General features: G+C 43.0%; 1 protein-coding gene across 1 annotated transcript in view, besides 2 other annotated features; it reads right to left on the bottom strand.

The window, feature by feature from the left end:
- The window catches only part of TEAD1 (TEA domain transcription factor 1), a 270,317-nt gene that overhangs the window by 212,015 nt on the left and 42,018 nt on the right, over positions 1-16,284 (bottom strand). The gene's annotated exons all lie outside the window — the stretch shown is intronic.
- Positions 6,767-7,061: a silencer, noted in NCBI's record as "tiled region #14023; HepG2 Repressive non-DNase unmatched - State 23:Low, and K562 Repressive non-DNase unmatched - State 7:EnhWF". NCBI's record gives its function as "represses a minimal TATA promoter and a strong SV40 promoter by Sharpr-MPRA in HepG2 and K562 cells {active_cell/tissue: HepG2 | K562}" and the evidence as "EXISTENCE:reporter gene assay evidence [ECO:0000049][PMID:27701403]".
- Positions 14,643-14,812: a silencer, noted in NCBI's record as "silent region_3163". NCBI's record gives its function as "represses an Ori minimal core promoter by ATAC-STARR-seq in GM12878 lymphoblastoid cells {active_cell/tissue: GM12878}" and the evidence as "EXISTENCE:reporter gene assay evidence [ECO:0000049][PMID:35858748]".

Below are 16,284 nucleotides of genomic sequence, written 5' to 3'. Positions count from 1 at the left end.
TTCACAGCCTTGGGCATTCACCAACTGTCCACTAAGGAATTCCTCCACTGTCTGCCTTTCTGGAGGACATCGAAATGCATCTGAAGAATTAGCTCAAGCCTCCAGTCAACTGAGTACCCTCAGAGGAGTATTTAAATTTCTCTTTACTACATCCATTACCCATGGTCTGGCCAGTTTTTTGTCTCTTCCTCCTCACTGGAAGCTCCTCAAGAGACCCAGCCTAGACTTCTCTATATTCTTCACCACTGTGATACCCACCACCACCAAGCCCTCATCCCCAGAGTTAAATCAAAAAAATATATATTCACATGGCAACATTTCCTGGGTATCCGCTATGTCACATGTGACAAAATGGAAGTAGGAACTAGTTTTTAAGGAGAATTAATAGGATATGGTCTTGGCCTCAAAAAATTTACAATCCAGTAAGGAAGACAGAGATAGAAATGATTGCTGGGATTTGCTGAATCATTTGACACTGGAATTTGCCTGTGACTGGGAGTTGGAAGGGATAGTGACTATGAAGGATGATAGAGTCTATTCCTGATACTATCTCAAAGGATATAATGACCAGCTGACTTTAATAAGGTCGAAATTTAATAAGGATAGATGTCAAGTCATGCACTTAGGGCTGAAAAAAAAAAATCAACTCACAAGTATAGGATGGAGAAGATCATATGAGAGACTTAAGGGATTGGGTTGCCCACAAGCTCAATGACTCAGTGTGACAAGGCCCTGTAAAAGTTAACGCACTATCAGGCTATCCTGATTAGAAATGTGGCATTCAGGGTAAGGAAAGGATCTCCAATCTGGATCCCAGAGACTGTAGAGAGATAAATGGTTTAAAGTGAGCAGATTTTAAGACAGCAAACGGGCACAAAGCCATATCCTAAGAGAAATGGGGACAGTGAGGCTAGAGAATGAGTAAGAGGGCCATGGAGCTATTTTCAGGCTGGAGTCTTAGGCTTTACTTTTTTATTTCTAGGAATAGGTAATGGAAACAGTTTACCTCGACTTATAGTCTAGGTAAAGAAGTCTAAGGCAGAAATTAACCTATGAGGATATTTATTACAGCATGGTTTATAACTGCCAAAAAATGAGAAGGAACTGACAAAATATCTGATAAGCGGGAATAAATTATATATCCTATTTTAAAATTGTTATTAATTGCAGTAAGTATTTATTGATATTAAAGATATTAATAAAATTCCACCTACCAGAAAAGTACAAAATATTATCCCCAAATATATGGTTAATTTAGTTTTTTAAAAAAACATACATACAAAAAAACAATATACACCCACATCAAAAACTACTGAAAATACTTTGGAAGACTAAGTAGTAGTGTGATACTAATAATCTATGAGTGGTGAAATTACGGATAGTTCTAAATTTTAGTTTTTGCTTCTCTGTATTTTGCTTCTCTACATTTTCTCATTGTTTCACATTGGACATATACTGCAAATCTGATAAGAAAAATTATTTTAGATTTTTCAAAAGAAAAAACCTAAATGGGCTAGCATATGAAAAGCAGAATTAGGCTTGTGCTGTATGGTTCCAGCAGAGGTAGGGAATTCAGATTAATGGATAAAGATTCTAAGAGACCCTATCTAAGCTCAACATAAGAGAATGGTGTATAAGTGAAATAAACTGGCCTTTGCTGTAGTAAGCTCCTCATCAAAAGATCTGTGCCTCCAGGATGCGTTAGAACTATGTAGGAAAGGGGCCGGGCATGGTAGCTCATGCCTGTAATCCCAGCACTTTGAGAGGCCGAGGCGGGCGGATCACTTGAGGCCAGGAGTTCGAGACCAGCCTGGCCAACATGGTGAAACCCCATCTCTACTAAAAAATACTAAAATTAGCCGGGCATGGTGGTGTGTGCCTGTAGTTCCAGCTGCTTGGGAGGCTGAGGCATGAGAATCACTTGAAACTGGAAGGTGGAGGTTGCAGTGAGCCATGATTGCACTAGTGCACTCCAGCCTGTGCAACAGGGCAAGACTCTATCTCCAAAAAAAAAAAAAAAAAAAAAAAGAGCTATGTAGAAAAGCACTGTAGGCAAGCCTCCATAAAGTCATGGAGTACAGGCTTAGCTCCTCCTGAAAGACCTTTAAAGTTCCCTCTAATCTATATACTCCAATTCCTTCAGCACTGCTTGAGCCATCGCTGCTCTAGAAACCACAACACCTCTATTTCTCTCATACAAGTTCAATTCTCAATCAAGTTTTTAAGACCTACCTCTCTCGGTTCTCTCACCAAACTGGAGCCAAATGGAATACCGTTAGGAAAAAAAAAAAAAAAAAAAAAAAAAACACTCAACTGGGAATCAAAAGTTTCAAATCCCAATGGCACCACTGGAAAGAATATACCCTTAAACAAGTCACTTTAATCTCTAGAAGCCTCAGTTTCCTCAACTATGAAATGGCAGTAAAATTTATACAACCTCACAAGGTTCTGCTGACAATTCAAGACAAAGCCTGGGAGAGTGTTTTGTAAACAATAAAGTGCTATACAAGCAAGAGACAATTTACTCCTCCGTGCATAACCCTGAACAGCGACTGGTACGTCATGGCCGTTTAATAAATGTTTTATGAGTGATAAATGAGTCCTGTATTAACTCAGTATGATGAACCTCCTGATACAGGCTTGCTAACATGTATTAATAAGTACTAATAAAACAGGAGGGAAGTTGTGGTCACCTATGTTAGACCCAGTTACCTTAGGTAATACAAAGTTAAACTGGCTGTCTTAGTGCCAGGCATTGCAAAGCCTTTAATATGCTGCGCTGTGAATCTGCAGCGTGTGGATGGAATAAGCAACACATGCAGGCATTATTCACCTGGGCAAACCCTTTCCTCAGGGCATCTCATAAGATATGAGGAGAGCAACATGCCTTGAGAATTAGGGACCCAGTGCATTCTCTATCGTGAGGGCATTTCAGCAGAAGTCGGATAGCCAACCATCAGGGAGGCTTAGAGATCACACAGGGTTGGAAGCAGACACAACTTTAATGCTAGCATCTCATGATTCTACACCATGGCCCAAGCACCATCTCCACAAGGTCCTTCATTCCTCTCTCTAGCTTTCTCCTGACCATTTATCATACCACACAATATAATGAATGGATTTTCTCCAGTTTATAAGGATGAGTCTTGATTTTTCACCATGATTACAAGTTTTAACAAGAGAACCTAGGTTTCCATCTTTCTCCACAATCCCTAGTGCACGCTGAGCACCTATTACAGACTTACTGATGATCTCACTGAACCCTAACAGACCCCTGCTACTTCAAGTGTAGTCCATAGACCAGCATGGCATTGCCTGGGACTTTCTTAGAAATGCAGATTCTTAGACACTGTCCCAGATCCACTGAATGAGAATCTGCATGCTTAACAAGATGTCCAGGATTCAGAAACACTAACAAGGTGATGCTGACGCTGCTGTTGCACAGACTACCCTCAAGCAGCAAGAGAGAGGCCTGGGGAATCTCGTCCACATGATCTGAAAGCCCAGAAAAGGGCCCTAGTCATTCACTCATTCACTTACTTATTCAGTTATCCACTCATTCAATAACTATATATGAAGTTCCTACATTGTGTGAGGTACTTTTCCAGGCACCAAGTCCTGTTCTAGCAGATGTCACTGAATGGCAAGGCTCCTCTAATATTAGAGAGAATCACTCATTACAGCTGCCTGCCCTCAGAATTCAGCTAAAAACAATGTAAGCACTTCTAAAGTCCAGCTCCTCCAGCTTTGCAGGTGTCAGGGCTGATACCTCTTCACAAAACATCCAAGAAACCACCCACACAATAGCCATGGTCCAATGGTTTGGGCACAACCCCTTTATATTTCTACAGGTGCTACATTCCAAAAAATGTTTTTTCTTATAAAGCATGGCAAGAATTCTACACTTAGGGAAGAAAAGAGGTTAAAGAAGGGCCTTATTTTTCCCTGGGGAGAGAAAAGACTAAAACCTCTTTCAGAGAGGTTTACATTTTTAAAATGTATTTATTTTATCAACCACAGGCTTGCAAGTCAAACATCTCCTCAAAGACATTTTGCAGACAGAGATATTCTGGAAACACACTGGAGGCAGCTTATTTATCTGCCGCTATTACAAGACTAGCCCGAAGGGATGAGTATCAGATGCTATCTCCCACTGAAATGACTGTCTGCCTGCCAACTCTATGCCAGGTCACAGCTACCTTATACCCCTCAGATACCCCCTGCTCAGTGCTGCCGAATTGTCTCTGCCCCACTGGTCCTCTGAGAGCCTTCCAACTAACCGGGGTCATTCTCTATCAGGGAGGGCTATCTGTGTGCTACACCTTTGAAGTACATAAACCAGCAATGAAAAGTGTAACTAATATACAGGTGCAACATTAATATCGAATGTTGCCACGGTGTTAGAGACCCCTGGGGACTGGCAGGATCCTATGCAAACTCAGATCCACAGTCTCACTGACCAAAAGAGAATCACAACAGAGTGCACTCCAGGCAGCTACAACTGTCCCTTAGCTCCCTCCTTTGCTGTCTTTAACTCAGTCATCCTTTAAATCACGTTTAGCAGTTAGGAACACTATTCAGGTCTCCCACAGTCCTCAGGCTCACCTCTACTACGGCTTGGTCACACTGCATTCTGTCTCATTCCCAACTGAGAGCACCTTGAGGGCAGGGGCTGTGTCCTGCCCATCATCATCCTACCAGCCCAGCAGATGCCTGACACACCCAGGTTTTCAGGAAACAGTGGTATAATGGCAATTCATTCAAGCATTTAATGAGTGTGGAGTTTCAGGAATACAATATGAAATACTTGAAGATTTAAAAAAAAAAAGATATGGATATTCCTTGTTGGCCTTTGGAGACTAAACAAAACAAGGAACAAGGACTATGAAAGCCTGGATACAAACTTGCATGTAAGGGTGAGGGAATTCCTAGAGTAGAGCAAGCCAAGTGCAACAGAAAAGGAATTTTCTTATCTACGGCATCTCACACAGATCCACTCCCACTCTGTAATTCATTCTGTGCTGAATGCATTTCCCACACTTCGACCTTCTATTTTATAACTGGCCAGGTTTCTTGTCTGTCTTTTGAACTATCGGTATACAGTACAGAGTATGGTATATATGGCCTTAATCCCAAATTTTTATTACAAAGAGAACCATGGATCACAATGGCTTCATACTTAATATTTTTAAAAAATGCTTTTCCTAGGCATTCTGACTTTATCCTCAGTCCCCACTGTGGGATGGGTGTTAGTTAAGGGGATGTCAGAAACAGGGCAGCAAGGTTCAGAGATGCGAAGCGCCTACCACAGACTATGCCCCAGGGCCCACAGGACCCGATTCACAGCTCTTCATTCTAAAACCCCCTCACTCCAACAATGGAGCTGCCTCTCCTGCGTCAGTCTCTCCATCCAGCATCCCCACCCACAGAACTATAATGTGAACCACAGTTGTCATTTTACAGTTTCTAGTAGACTCATTTTTTGTTGTTGTTTTTGTTTCTGTCGCCAGGCTGGAGTGCAATGGTGCCATCTCGGCTCACTGCAACCTCCGCCTCCCAGGTTCAAGCAATTCTCCTGCCTCAGCTTCCCAAGTAGCTGGGACTACAGGCGTGCACCACCACGTCCAGCTGATTTTTGTATTTTTAGTAGAGACGGGGTTTCACCATGTTGACCTGGCTGGTCTTGAACTCCTGACCTCAAGTGATCTGCCCGCCTCAGGCTCCCAAAGTGCTGGGATTACAGTTGTGAGCCACCACACCCAGCTGACTCATTCTCAGACATAAAAAGAAACAGGTGAAATTAATTTCAATAACTTATTAACTCAACACATCCAAAAATTATCCAACTTATAATCAATATAAACAAAATTATACATTTGTTTTTTGAAACAGAGTCTCACTCTGTCACCCAGGCTGTAATGCAGCGGAGCAATCTCAGCTCACTGTAGCCTCAACCTCCCCAGGCTCAGCCTCCCAAGTAGCTGGGACTACAGGCGCATGCCACCACGCCTGGTTAATTTTTGTATTTTTTGTAGAGATGAGGTTTCGCCATGTTGCCCCTGCTGGGCTCAAGCAATTGGCCAGCCTCAGCCTCCCAAAGAGCTGGAATTATAGACATGAGCCACCGTGCCCAGCCCAAAATTGTTCATGATGTGTTTTACTTTTTTTCCCCCCATACTAAGTCTTTGAAATTCAGTGGTCATTGTTTACTTATGACACATCCCAACCCAGATTAGCCACCTTCCTAGTGCTGAATAGCGCACAAGGTTGGTGACTCCCCCAGTGCACAGCACAGGCCTAGAGCAACCACTTCTTACATGCATTTAAGTCTCAGAGCCTAGTATCTGCGGTCTCCAAGCACATACAACCTTTTACCAACTTCAGTTGGATTTGAGAATTATGACGTCCCAATTCTCAGCCAACACAGCCTCTCCATTTTTAGAATGACATTCAGCAACATCCTTCAAGTCTCACCAGAGGTACCACTCTTTCAAGGAAACCTTCCCTAACTACCTTCTCCCACTCCAATAGTTATGTGCCCCACCTATGTGCCTCAAGCTACCCTGACTTCACTCATCACTGCCCTTACCATGCCATGCTCATTCCTGCTCAGCCGTGTCATCTGCTATTTTATGTTCCTTGAAGACAGGACTGTGCCTGTTTCATTCACAGCCTAAGCCTTATCTCCCAGCCCAAAACTGGCTCAATAAATATTTGTTGGACGCGTGGAAGGATGGTTGGGTAAATGAATGGAATTCTTCCCAACACAAAATCTCTCACTCTAGGCCATAGTTTCCTCATTTGTAAAATCTCCATGGTTCCTTCTGGCTCTGAAATTCAATAAAACCATGCACAGTGATTTGTGTTGCTTACACCCGGGTGACAGGACTGACTGGGACATATGCACTTAGCCTTCCTGTACAACCAGCTCGACCAGGCATCTGACACAGGAAGGAAAACTTCTTAGACCACAATCTTCAGGGTTTCTTTCTCAGACCACTGCAAACATTTTGCTTTTAAGTCTCCAGAAAGCATCCTGTGAATTTCCTGTTATTCTACTGAACTACAGAAATCTGTATATTCACTCACATATTTTTTAATTTTTTTTTTAACTGATACGTAATACTTTACGTATTTATGAGGTGCATGTGATATTTTGTTACATGCATGGAATATGTAATGATCAAGTCAGGGAATTTAAGGTATCCATCACACTGAGCATTTATCATTATTATGTGTTGGGAACAATTCAAGTCCTTTCTTTTAGTTACTTTGAAATACACAATACGTTGTTGTTAACCATAGTCACTCTAGTCCGCTGTCAAACTCTCACATGACTCTTGAAGAGAATTTATATATTTCTTATGCAGAAAAAGTTTCATTTTGTCCTTAATGAATGAATGTTATAAAGAAATTGTAAGGTCAGGTTTTAGACTCTAAAGTCCAAGGTTTTGTCCCCACTACCTTTCCACCGGCTAGCTGCTTGATCATGGACATTCCATTTAACCTCTGTGCACCTCGATTTCCTCATCCATAAAGTGGGGTAACAATATATCCAATTCAGAGTTGTTTTAATGCCAGAAAGCCTTACACACTGTAAAGGGCCAAACCAACTTTAGTTACTGTGTAAACTATTTCTTCTGAGGCATATCAACAGAGTGACAACACAGCCACCACCAAGCCCAGGCCTGGGGAACTCAAGCAAAGGCCAGAGGAATCCCATGTGTACTCCCAGGCTAAAATCAACCAGGCCCCAGAATCCACAGCCTCATAAAGCAAAGCCCCAGGGCACTGCCCAGGATCAAGGTTAGGGAGCAGCCCCGGAAGCACAGGCCTCGCCAGGTGAACCAGGCACCTGGCCTGGCAGGTGGGGAAGGCTGCCTACTGGAGCACAAAAGACCAGTACAAAGGAGCCAGCCTTCCAAGGAAAGGAGGGGCGAGGAGGAGAGGGCAGGGAGAGGATGGGAATTCCCATCCCAGAGTAGGGCCCCCACTGAGCAGGAGGTTCTGCCCTCAAGACAGGCCAGGGAGCCGGAGAAACAGCCTCACTGGCCTGTTCTTTCCCCTGCAGTGTTTCAAAGGCACCTGAACTTTCCCAAAGGGGTTCTGTCCATTTCAAACAGGAACTAGGCTTGCGTGTGCACGCGCATTTTATGATTTCAGAAGAAAGCACTCGCATTCAGAGGATGAGTCATCAGCACTCCTTGTCAATTTGCCAGCGGCCTGCCCCTCTTCATTACAAACATAAAGATAAAAGCTCTTGCACTACATTAGCTGGCATACGCCTCCACAGACAGTACAAATAAATTAATTGTGCCTCATCTCAAACAGCCCGAGAGGTGTGCGGGAAGGGAAAATGTGATCCATCTTGTTTCATTAACAAATTAAATTGAAATCGAGCCTCGATCATTCTACTTTATGTACATAGACCCAGTTATTCTGCCAATATCGGATTCTCCTACTATGCGCATAGTGGGGCAGCATTACGGAGAGCCCACGAGCTCAATAAACTACGTGCACACCCAAGAGAGTGTGTGTCTTTCTCAGTGTTTGTTGCGGAGGGGACAGTGTGGCCTCAGGGGCCACTGGAAGGCTAGACTTGGGCTTGGCATCACCATGAAGGAGCCTGGGGAATAAGAATCATCTATCAAATGCTGAGCACCACTGCAAAGGGGAATGTGTTTCAATCATTTACCCCAGGCAAATAAACAAACCAGTTCAGTGGCCATGGTATGTATAGGAGAGTAAAAGAGTTTGTCATCAAGCGAACTCTGTCATACTGAGGATGGCGAGCATTCCAGAAAGAACAAACTTATTCAAGACCAACTTGAAAAACAAGTTGGGCTCCCTTGCACCACAAGCCAAGATTACACCCTCAAACACACCTTTCTAAGATTTCGTGGGAGACGTTTGCTTTTGCAAAGCAGTTACAGGCAATGTGTTACAATACTGTGATTTTCTTTATCCTCACTCTGTACTACATAATTTAGGCAACCTACATTTTATAAGTTGAAGGAGCATGACTAAAAGCTGATCCTTTTATGTTTTATCTCCAAAAAGACAACAACAGGGCTTACAGGGGAGGAGGGAAACAGGAAATGGGGGGATGGTAGAGGGAAAGAACAAAGGAGAATCTAAGGAGAAGAGGAAAAGCCCCGCTACTCTCCAAATACCGCCCTATTAACTTATGACCTATAAGGAAGTTAAAATCACGAACAGTTAATCCAACCACAAAATATGTCCAAAGTATTTATTTTACAGATGAATTCTGGGTTTGGTTTTTGTTAGTTTGGTTTGTTTTTTCGCTGTAAAATTCAAGAGTCTGAAAAGCTCTACACAGAAAATCTGACCTCAACCACAGCTAGGTCCTGACTGTAAGAAAACAAAAATACTAAGTAAAATCTCAAAACATAGTAAGTAAAGCCATACTCAACCTTGTCATAATCCAAGAAATATCAATTAAACGATGTGCACCATTGAGCCAAACTTTTGTAAAAATTATACTATCTAGTGCAAGCCAAGATGCTGAAATTGGTACCTTCACGCACTGCTGGTGGCATCATAAACTGGTACAACCCTTTTGGAAAGCAATTTAGCAATATCCATTGAGAGCCAAAAAAATAATTGTGCCCTTTAACCCAGAAATCCTGCTCCTGGGAATTCACCCTAAGGAAAAAATCCACAATAAGCACAAGGCCATATCCCAAAGTATTACTTATAATAGCACAGAACTACAGAAAAAAAAAAATCTAGATGTCCAACAGTAGATGAATGGTTAAGTAAATTCAGCCTGTGGGATGATAGATTGTAAGATCATTAAAAATCATCTTGAAGACTACATAACCATTTGGAAAGCATTTACTTAAGGTTTACTGAAAAGAGCAGAATACAAAATTGAGCCTACATATGATTACAGATACAGAGAAACATGCCTGCATACAGACAAGGGCTAAAAGTTAAAATGAAAACAGTTGTGTTAGGGTACTGAGCTAGTTCTGGATGAATTTTTTCCCTCTTTTGTTTGACTGTCTTTTTTGCGGTTATAGTGTATTTTTGTGAAAAAAAAAAAAAAAGAAAGAGAGAGAAATCACAGGGTATATATGCAGCGACTCAACTCACATTCAAATAATCCATCAGGAATTTGGGAAACCAATTTGTATGTTATTTTTTAGCATGGACCAAAACCTAGCCCTAGAGTCTCTATCCTATACTCTGCCTGGGTCTTTCCAACCATATCTCTCAGCATTACCCACCTAGCAAGGCAGGCTGATGAGGAAAGGGATGTTACCGGATGACCTATTCAAGGCTGCCTGCATGAGGTTTCTTGAGGAACAGCGAGTGTAGAAGCACCTGGCTCAGTGCATGGTGTGCACTCAGGAAGGAGTCTTCCCCTCTTGCGTTCTTCTTCCCTCCCCTGTAGGAACAGCATCCATTTACTGAGGAGATGACCAGGTTTAGGAGATGTGGAGACAGGATGAGATCCCAGATCTGTTCTGTTCAAAAGTCCTGGCCCATCTTGTCACTGTAGCTTCGAATTTCAGAGCCCCTCCACTCCCTGGGAAATAGTTTCCTCCTTAAACTGAAGAGGTTAAACATTCTTCCAGCCTGGTGTGAATATGACACTGTTTCATCCATGTGTGGTTCACAGACCACCTGCAACCAATTCACCTGCACTGCAGGCTAAAAGCTCAGACAACTGGCACCAACCCAGACCCAGTGAATCAGAATATTTAGGAGTGAGGCACCTGAATCTGAATTTAACCAGCCTCCCAGGCAACTCTTACGCACAGGGATGTTTGAGAAGCACTGATCTAAGAATCATGCAAACATCTGCCAAACACTCAAACTCATACGTCCACTGTCCTATCAACAGGAAAACCTGCTGGACAGTGGGGCGGGGGGCTTGAGGAGTGGGTATATTTAGAAGCTTGTACTTGCTCAAATGAGTATTTAACCCTAAAGAGTTAGGATGTTCAAAAGGGAAGAACACAAGAGAGTGATCTATATTTTCCAGACTTTTTTTTTCTGTTGAAATAATTCCTGGGCTAACAGACGTTATCCAATTTCACATGTCCATGCTTAGCATAATGCTGGGAACATAATGTGTATTTAGAACTGTTCGTTGAAATAATGGGTGAATGAATGAATGAGTGAGCTGACAGAGAGTATCTACATCCAACTATATACAGCATTTATTTTCTTTGTTTGCTTATTAACCTGCCCCTTCTCTCCTCCCCACTATAGTGTCAGCTCCAGGATGCTGGGGATAGGGGTGTGTGCAGATCATCCTTCTTACTCCACAAAGTAACCCCAGCTGCTAGAACAGGGACTGGAGATACTGTGCCCTCATACACAGTGGTTGCATAAATGAACAGTAGGCACTCGCAAGAGCCAGAAAAAATGTGGTGCTCCTGAACCTGGTCATCTCATTAGTAAATGGATGCTGTTCCTACAGGGGAGGGAACAAGAACGCAAGAAGGGAAGCTTTCTTCCTGCACCTGCACTGAGCCAGGTGCTTCTACACTCACTCGTCCTCAAGGAAACCTCACAACTACACTGCATGGGAGACTAGTAACTAGCAACGATTAAATGGTTTGTCCAATACACCAGGCAGTAAGTGAGAGTCTGGACTCAGAACCACATTCTTCTGTCTAACTAAACACAGGGTAGTCAAACATGAAAAATAAAAGAATACAAGAAAGTATAACCCATAAAGAATACAAGGTCCAAAGGAAATCCAAGGTACACACAAGACTGAAGGTGCTGGATGAGTTAACTTCTGAGAAGTTGCCCAGAGGAAGTGTCGGGGCTGACCTCAGACAAGTCATGGTCAGAGAGTCACATTTTCTGAGGACTGTCCCTTTAGCCTGGGAATGCTGGGAGAGGGTCTTGGCTTGGCACCTTGGGGCCCATATCTGTTCCTTAAAGCAATAATGGCAGTGCTGATGCCATTCTTCAAATTATCAGCAGCAACAAACACTTCAGAAGCAAATGGGCTTTAAACTCAGACCACTTACAGAGCTCTGCTGGTTACAATTATTGGGCACCTTCCATAGCACCTCAATCTAGTCAAGAGTTGATTTTGAAATGAAATTGGCTTGGATTCAAATCCTGCCTTCACCATTTTCTGACAATGAGACCTTCACCTTCCAAGCCTCAGTTTCCTTATTTATACAGGGGAGTAATAATGCTCACCTCATAGAGTTGTTCTGATAATTAAATAATACATTTAAAGTACTCACCAGGGGCCTGGCATACAGTAAAGTTGCAGTAAATGATATCTGTTGCAGCAGTTACTATAAGCATTGTAGAATTTGATCTGAACACCAGAATTTTCCCCAAATCACAAGCATGCAGACTATCTATGTATCTATATGTTCTGCATTCTCTACTAATTTCTTCCCAGTCCACATAAAAACACTTAATGTATTAACACATGACCTTAACTGTTATTTTTAATAGTCAGAGTAAGTGCCTATTCCTCTCTCTAGAGATCTAACTTTTTAATGATTTCCACATTAGATTTAACATTAAATTCAAATTGATCCATAAAGTAGTCTAATTGGAAATTAAATATGCCATAGACATTATTCCTGACTTAATTAGCAGAGCAACATTATATAATGAGAGATGCCCCTCACTACCAGGAGAGACCAAGGCCAGAGCTCCACCTCAGCAGATTACTGGCTATGAGATCTACAAGACACAGCATGGCTGGGTCCCCCCCCAAAAAAAAAAAAAAAAAAAAAAAAAAAAAAAAAAAAAAAAAAAAACATTAGATTTCCAAACACACGCCGGTTTGCAAAGTTGAATTTTCATTACAGATCATGCCACCTGGACTATGTTCCTCCTACTCAGCCCTCCCCTCTTTCAGGAGGCTATGCCCTCAATGTTTTTTCACAAACCATAATTTTCAAGTCAGAGTTTTTTTAGCTATTAGCTCAAGATTGTATAGCTGGCCAAGTTCTTCGCAGTTTGAACCAATATCCTAATACCCCTACCCCATGTCCAACCCACGGCTTCACCCAGATTAAATTCTGAAAAGGCTGCCAAGATTTACCTCAGCCTTGGTTGTCTTTTTCAATACAAAACAAATCCCTGCCCCTAGCCTGACCTTTTTGACACAGCCCCCCGCCCCCCCTCCCCCCAAAAAAAAGGACTGGAAAGAGAAAGGGGAGAGTCAGCAATGTGCTGGAAAGTCATCTGGAGTTAAGCAAGGAGCATAGCTTAAGAGGTAGAGAGCCGCAATGTGTGGTTAGGGACTGTGGCTGAGCTGCCTGCACTCAGCAAGGCATGAGGTGGAGCAAAAGCGGGATCTCTCTCAGGAAGCTCATGGGACAGAATCTCACCCTTGTTAATGTGAGCATATAGAAGCCACTTTCCCTACTCCCACTGTGAGACAAGAGCATTCCTCCACAGGACGCAATCATTTCCACAGGATGCAGCCACCACAGTCCCTCATCCACTAGGCAGAGTCAAAGGTCCCCAGGTACCTTCCATCACCTCCCCAAACTGCTCTCATGTTTAGCTGTGGTCAGAGTCAGCTAAACACAGGCTGCGGAGGAGGGGGCTTGGGAATGACCCAAGCCAGGACTTGAGTCCTGTCCTGATTCCTGGAAATGTCACCATCAAAGAGACAGCTTCCCAACCCCTGGGAATCCCAGAAACCAACCACATTTGAAAACGCGTTGTTCAGAAGACCCTTGGACTCCCCCCCCTAAAAAAAAAACCCCAAAGTTTTCAAGCTCTTTAGATTTAATTAAGAATTATGTCCTTAAACAATTATGATGATATACATAAAGCATCAGAAAGTAAAATTTATACCACTCAACCCAAGTTAGGGTGCAGGAAGAGATTTAAGCAGGTAAAATTAGGATGAAAGTTGTTGGGATTTGATGAAATTTTTCCTTTTAAAAAAAGCCTGGGTCACAGAAAACCCAATTTAACAAAGCCATCTGAATACAACTAGACTGGCCTTGGACTGCACTTAAGAACACTACTCTAAAGACAAGAGTGTAATTAAAGAAAAAAGAAAAGGAAGGAACTGGATTCAGAAATAATACCCTTATACAAAATCAGCACATTATTATTACACAACTTCAAACTTGAATTACATCAATAATTTCACCCAAAAAAAAAAGCAACGGTACATCGAAATGTCTTTATGGAAAAACCAGGATTCTGTGAATATTGTTTCAAAACCCTTGCCCCACAGAAGCTGGAGGAAGGATACCCAGAGACCAAGGGAATGCAAGAACATAATGAGGAAGATGATGCCAACAGCAGCAATCACACCTTTCCTCTGCAGGGGAACTTCAGTTTGCAAAGCACTTTGACTTTCATTATCTTGTCATGCCCCCAAGACAATCCTGTGAGGGGCCGGGGGACACCTGATTATCTCTATTTCATGCTCTGAGAGGCTAGGGACCTGCCAGAGGTCCCACAACCAGCAAGTGACAGGTGTAGCATGAAAACCTTAGGTTGTGGCTGGGCCAAGCATCCTCCGTGAACCACTACTCACAAAGAATGCCTGGGGCACGTCCCCACAGATGTTCACATGTCTCTGTATGACATGGTGGGAGGAGACAGGGTTATAAGCGGACTCTGAATGATGACTACCAGAGCTGTGCTTACCCTCAGAGCATGAGGTTAGAGGCTAAGAAAACCACTCTTCCTCCTCTACCTTCACCACCACCACCACAACCACAAGAAAGATTCACGTGCTGCTCACTATGAGCCAGACATGGTTCTAAGCCCTTCATATCCGTTAACTCATTTCACTCTTACAACAGCCCTATGAGGAAGGTACTTCTATTAATACCCCCACTGTACAACCCAGTAAATGGCAAGGTGAAGTAATTTGCCCAAAGGCAGAGGTGAAAAACAGTGGGCCAGGAGCCAGGCAGTCTGAGCCCAGATGCTGTCCTGCTGACCGCTAAGCCATGCTACCTCACCTGAGGACTAGAATTAGTGAATTCAAACCTGCCAGGGGCCTGGGGTGAGCAGTGGGGTACAGACCCCTACTAGCTCCCTGTTAACACCACACAAAGCTTCCTTGACTTCCAGATGCTTCCCACTTTCAAATAAGCAGGTCATCACCTTCCCCTCCTCCCTCCCTTCCACTTCCATTATTGGGTTACTGCAGGAAGATCGTGTATTAAGGCAAACACTACTTTGACATAACCTAATAACCACCCATCTCCCAGCATGCGGCAAGAATGAATGCTACAGGGCACACATGCAAACTTGATTCTCCATCCAGGAGTGATTTCTGTGGAGGTGTAATTCCACTGTCCACCTTACACAGCACATCTTCTATCCATAAAACACAAAGCTTCCATCAGTCAAGACACTCAGGAATGAAGGGCCCTGCCTCCTGACTCATGTTTCAGGTGTAGCTAGACCCTACCAGTGACAGAAATTCAAATCCAATTGATCCTTTCACTTAAAACACACAATACCAAGCACACACACAACTGTAGGCAGAAAGTAGCATACCAGAGGCATACAACTGCCCCACATTCAATTCTGCTGGCTACTTATTAGCCCCGAATCACTCTGGATATTATAGTCTATGATCAGTATAACTACATTCATTACATTCCATGGCCAGACTTGACTGTTTATGGCTCATCCTCTGAAGATCTACAAATCCATGCAGGAACCTTTCTCTGTACAGCAAACTATGGTATGTGAGTTGGTACCCACATTGTGGGCAGCTGAGAGGCCAAGCCCACTACTTCGGATCCCAGCTCAGTCAGTCACCTGGGAGCAGCAGAAGCTGTGACCTCAGGGCGGGAAGCCATTCAGCGCCTATGTCGGGAACGCAGAGCCAGGCTTCTGATCTGTAATGTTCTCTGCTGATGACTTAGAAGAGGGCTGGCAAACCATGGCTCACAGGCCAAATCTGGTCTGCCATCTGTTTTTGTATGGCCCATGAAGGAAGAATGGTTTTTACATTCCTTAATGGTTGAAAAACAAAGGAATAATAAACTACATGGAGTTCACATGTGTCCATAAATAAGATTTTACTGGAACATAGCCACATCCACTGGTTTTCATGTTGTCTATGGCTGCTTTCAAACCACAACAGCAGAGCTGAGAGGTGGTGGCAGAGACCAGGTGACCTGCAAAGTCAAAAATATTTGCTATCTGACCTATACCAGAAAAAGTTTTCTGACCCCTGACTAAGAAGCAAGTGCCAGGACACTGCTAAAAATGAGACCTCAAAAATCTAAACATTGTCTGGGGGGAAAATAAAAAGGATTACTTCTTGATCACAGG

Source organism: Homo sapiens, chromosome 11 (genome assembly GCF_000001405.40).
Source record: "Homo sapiens chromosome 11, GRCh38.p14 Primary Assembly".
Taxonomy (NCBI): Eukaryota; Metazoa; Chordata; class Mammalia; order Primates; family Hominidae; genus Homo; species Homo sapiens.
This window is presented reverse-complemented; position numbering and strand designations above follow the sequence as displayed.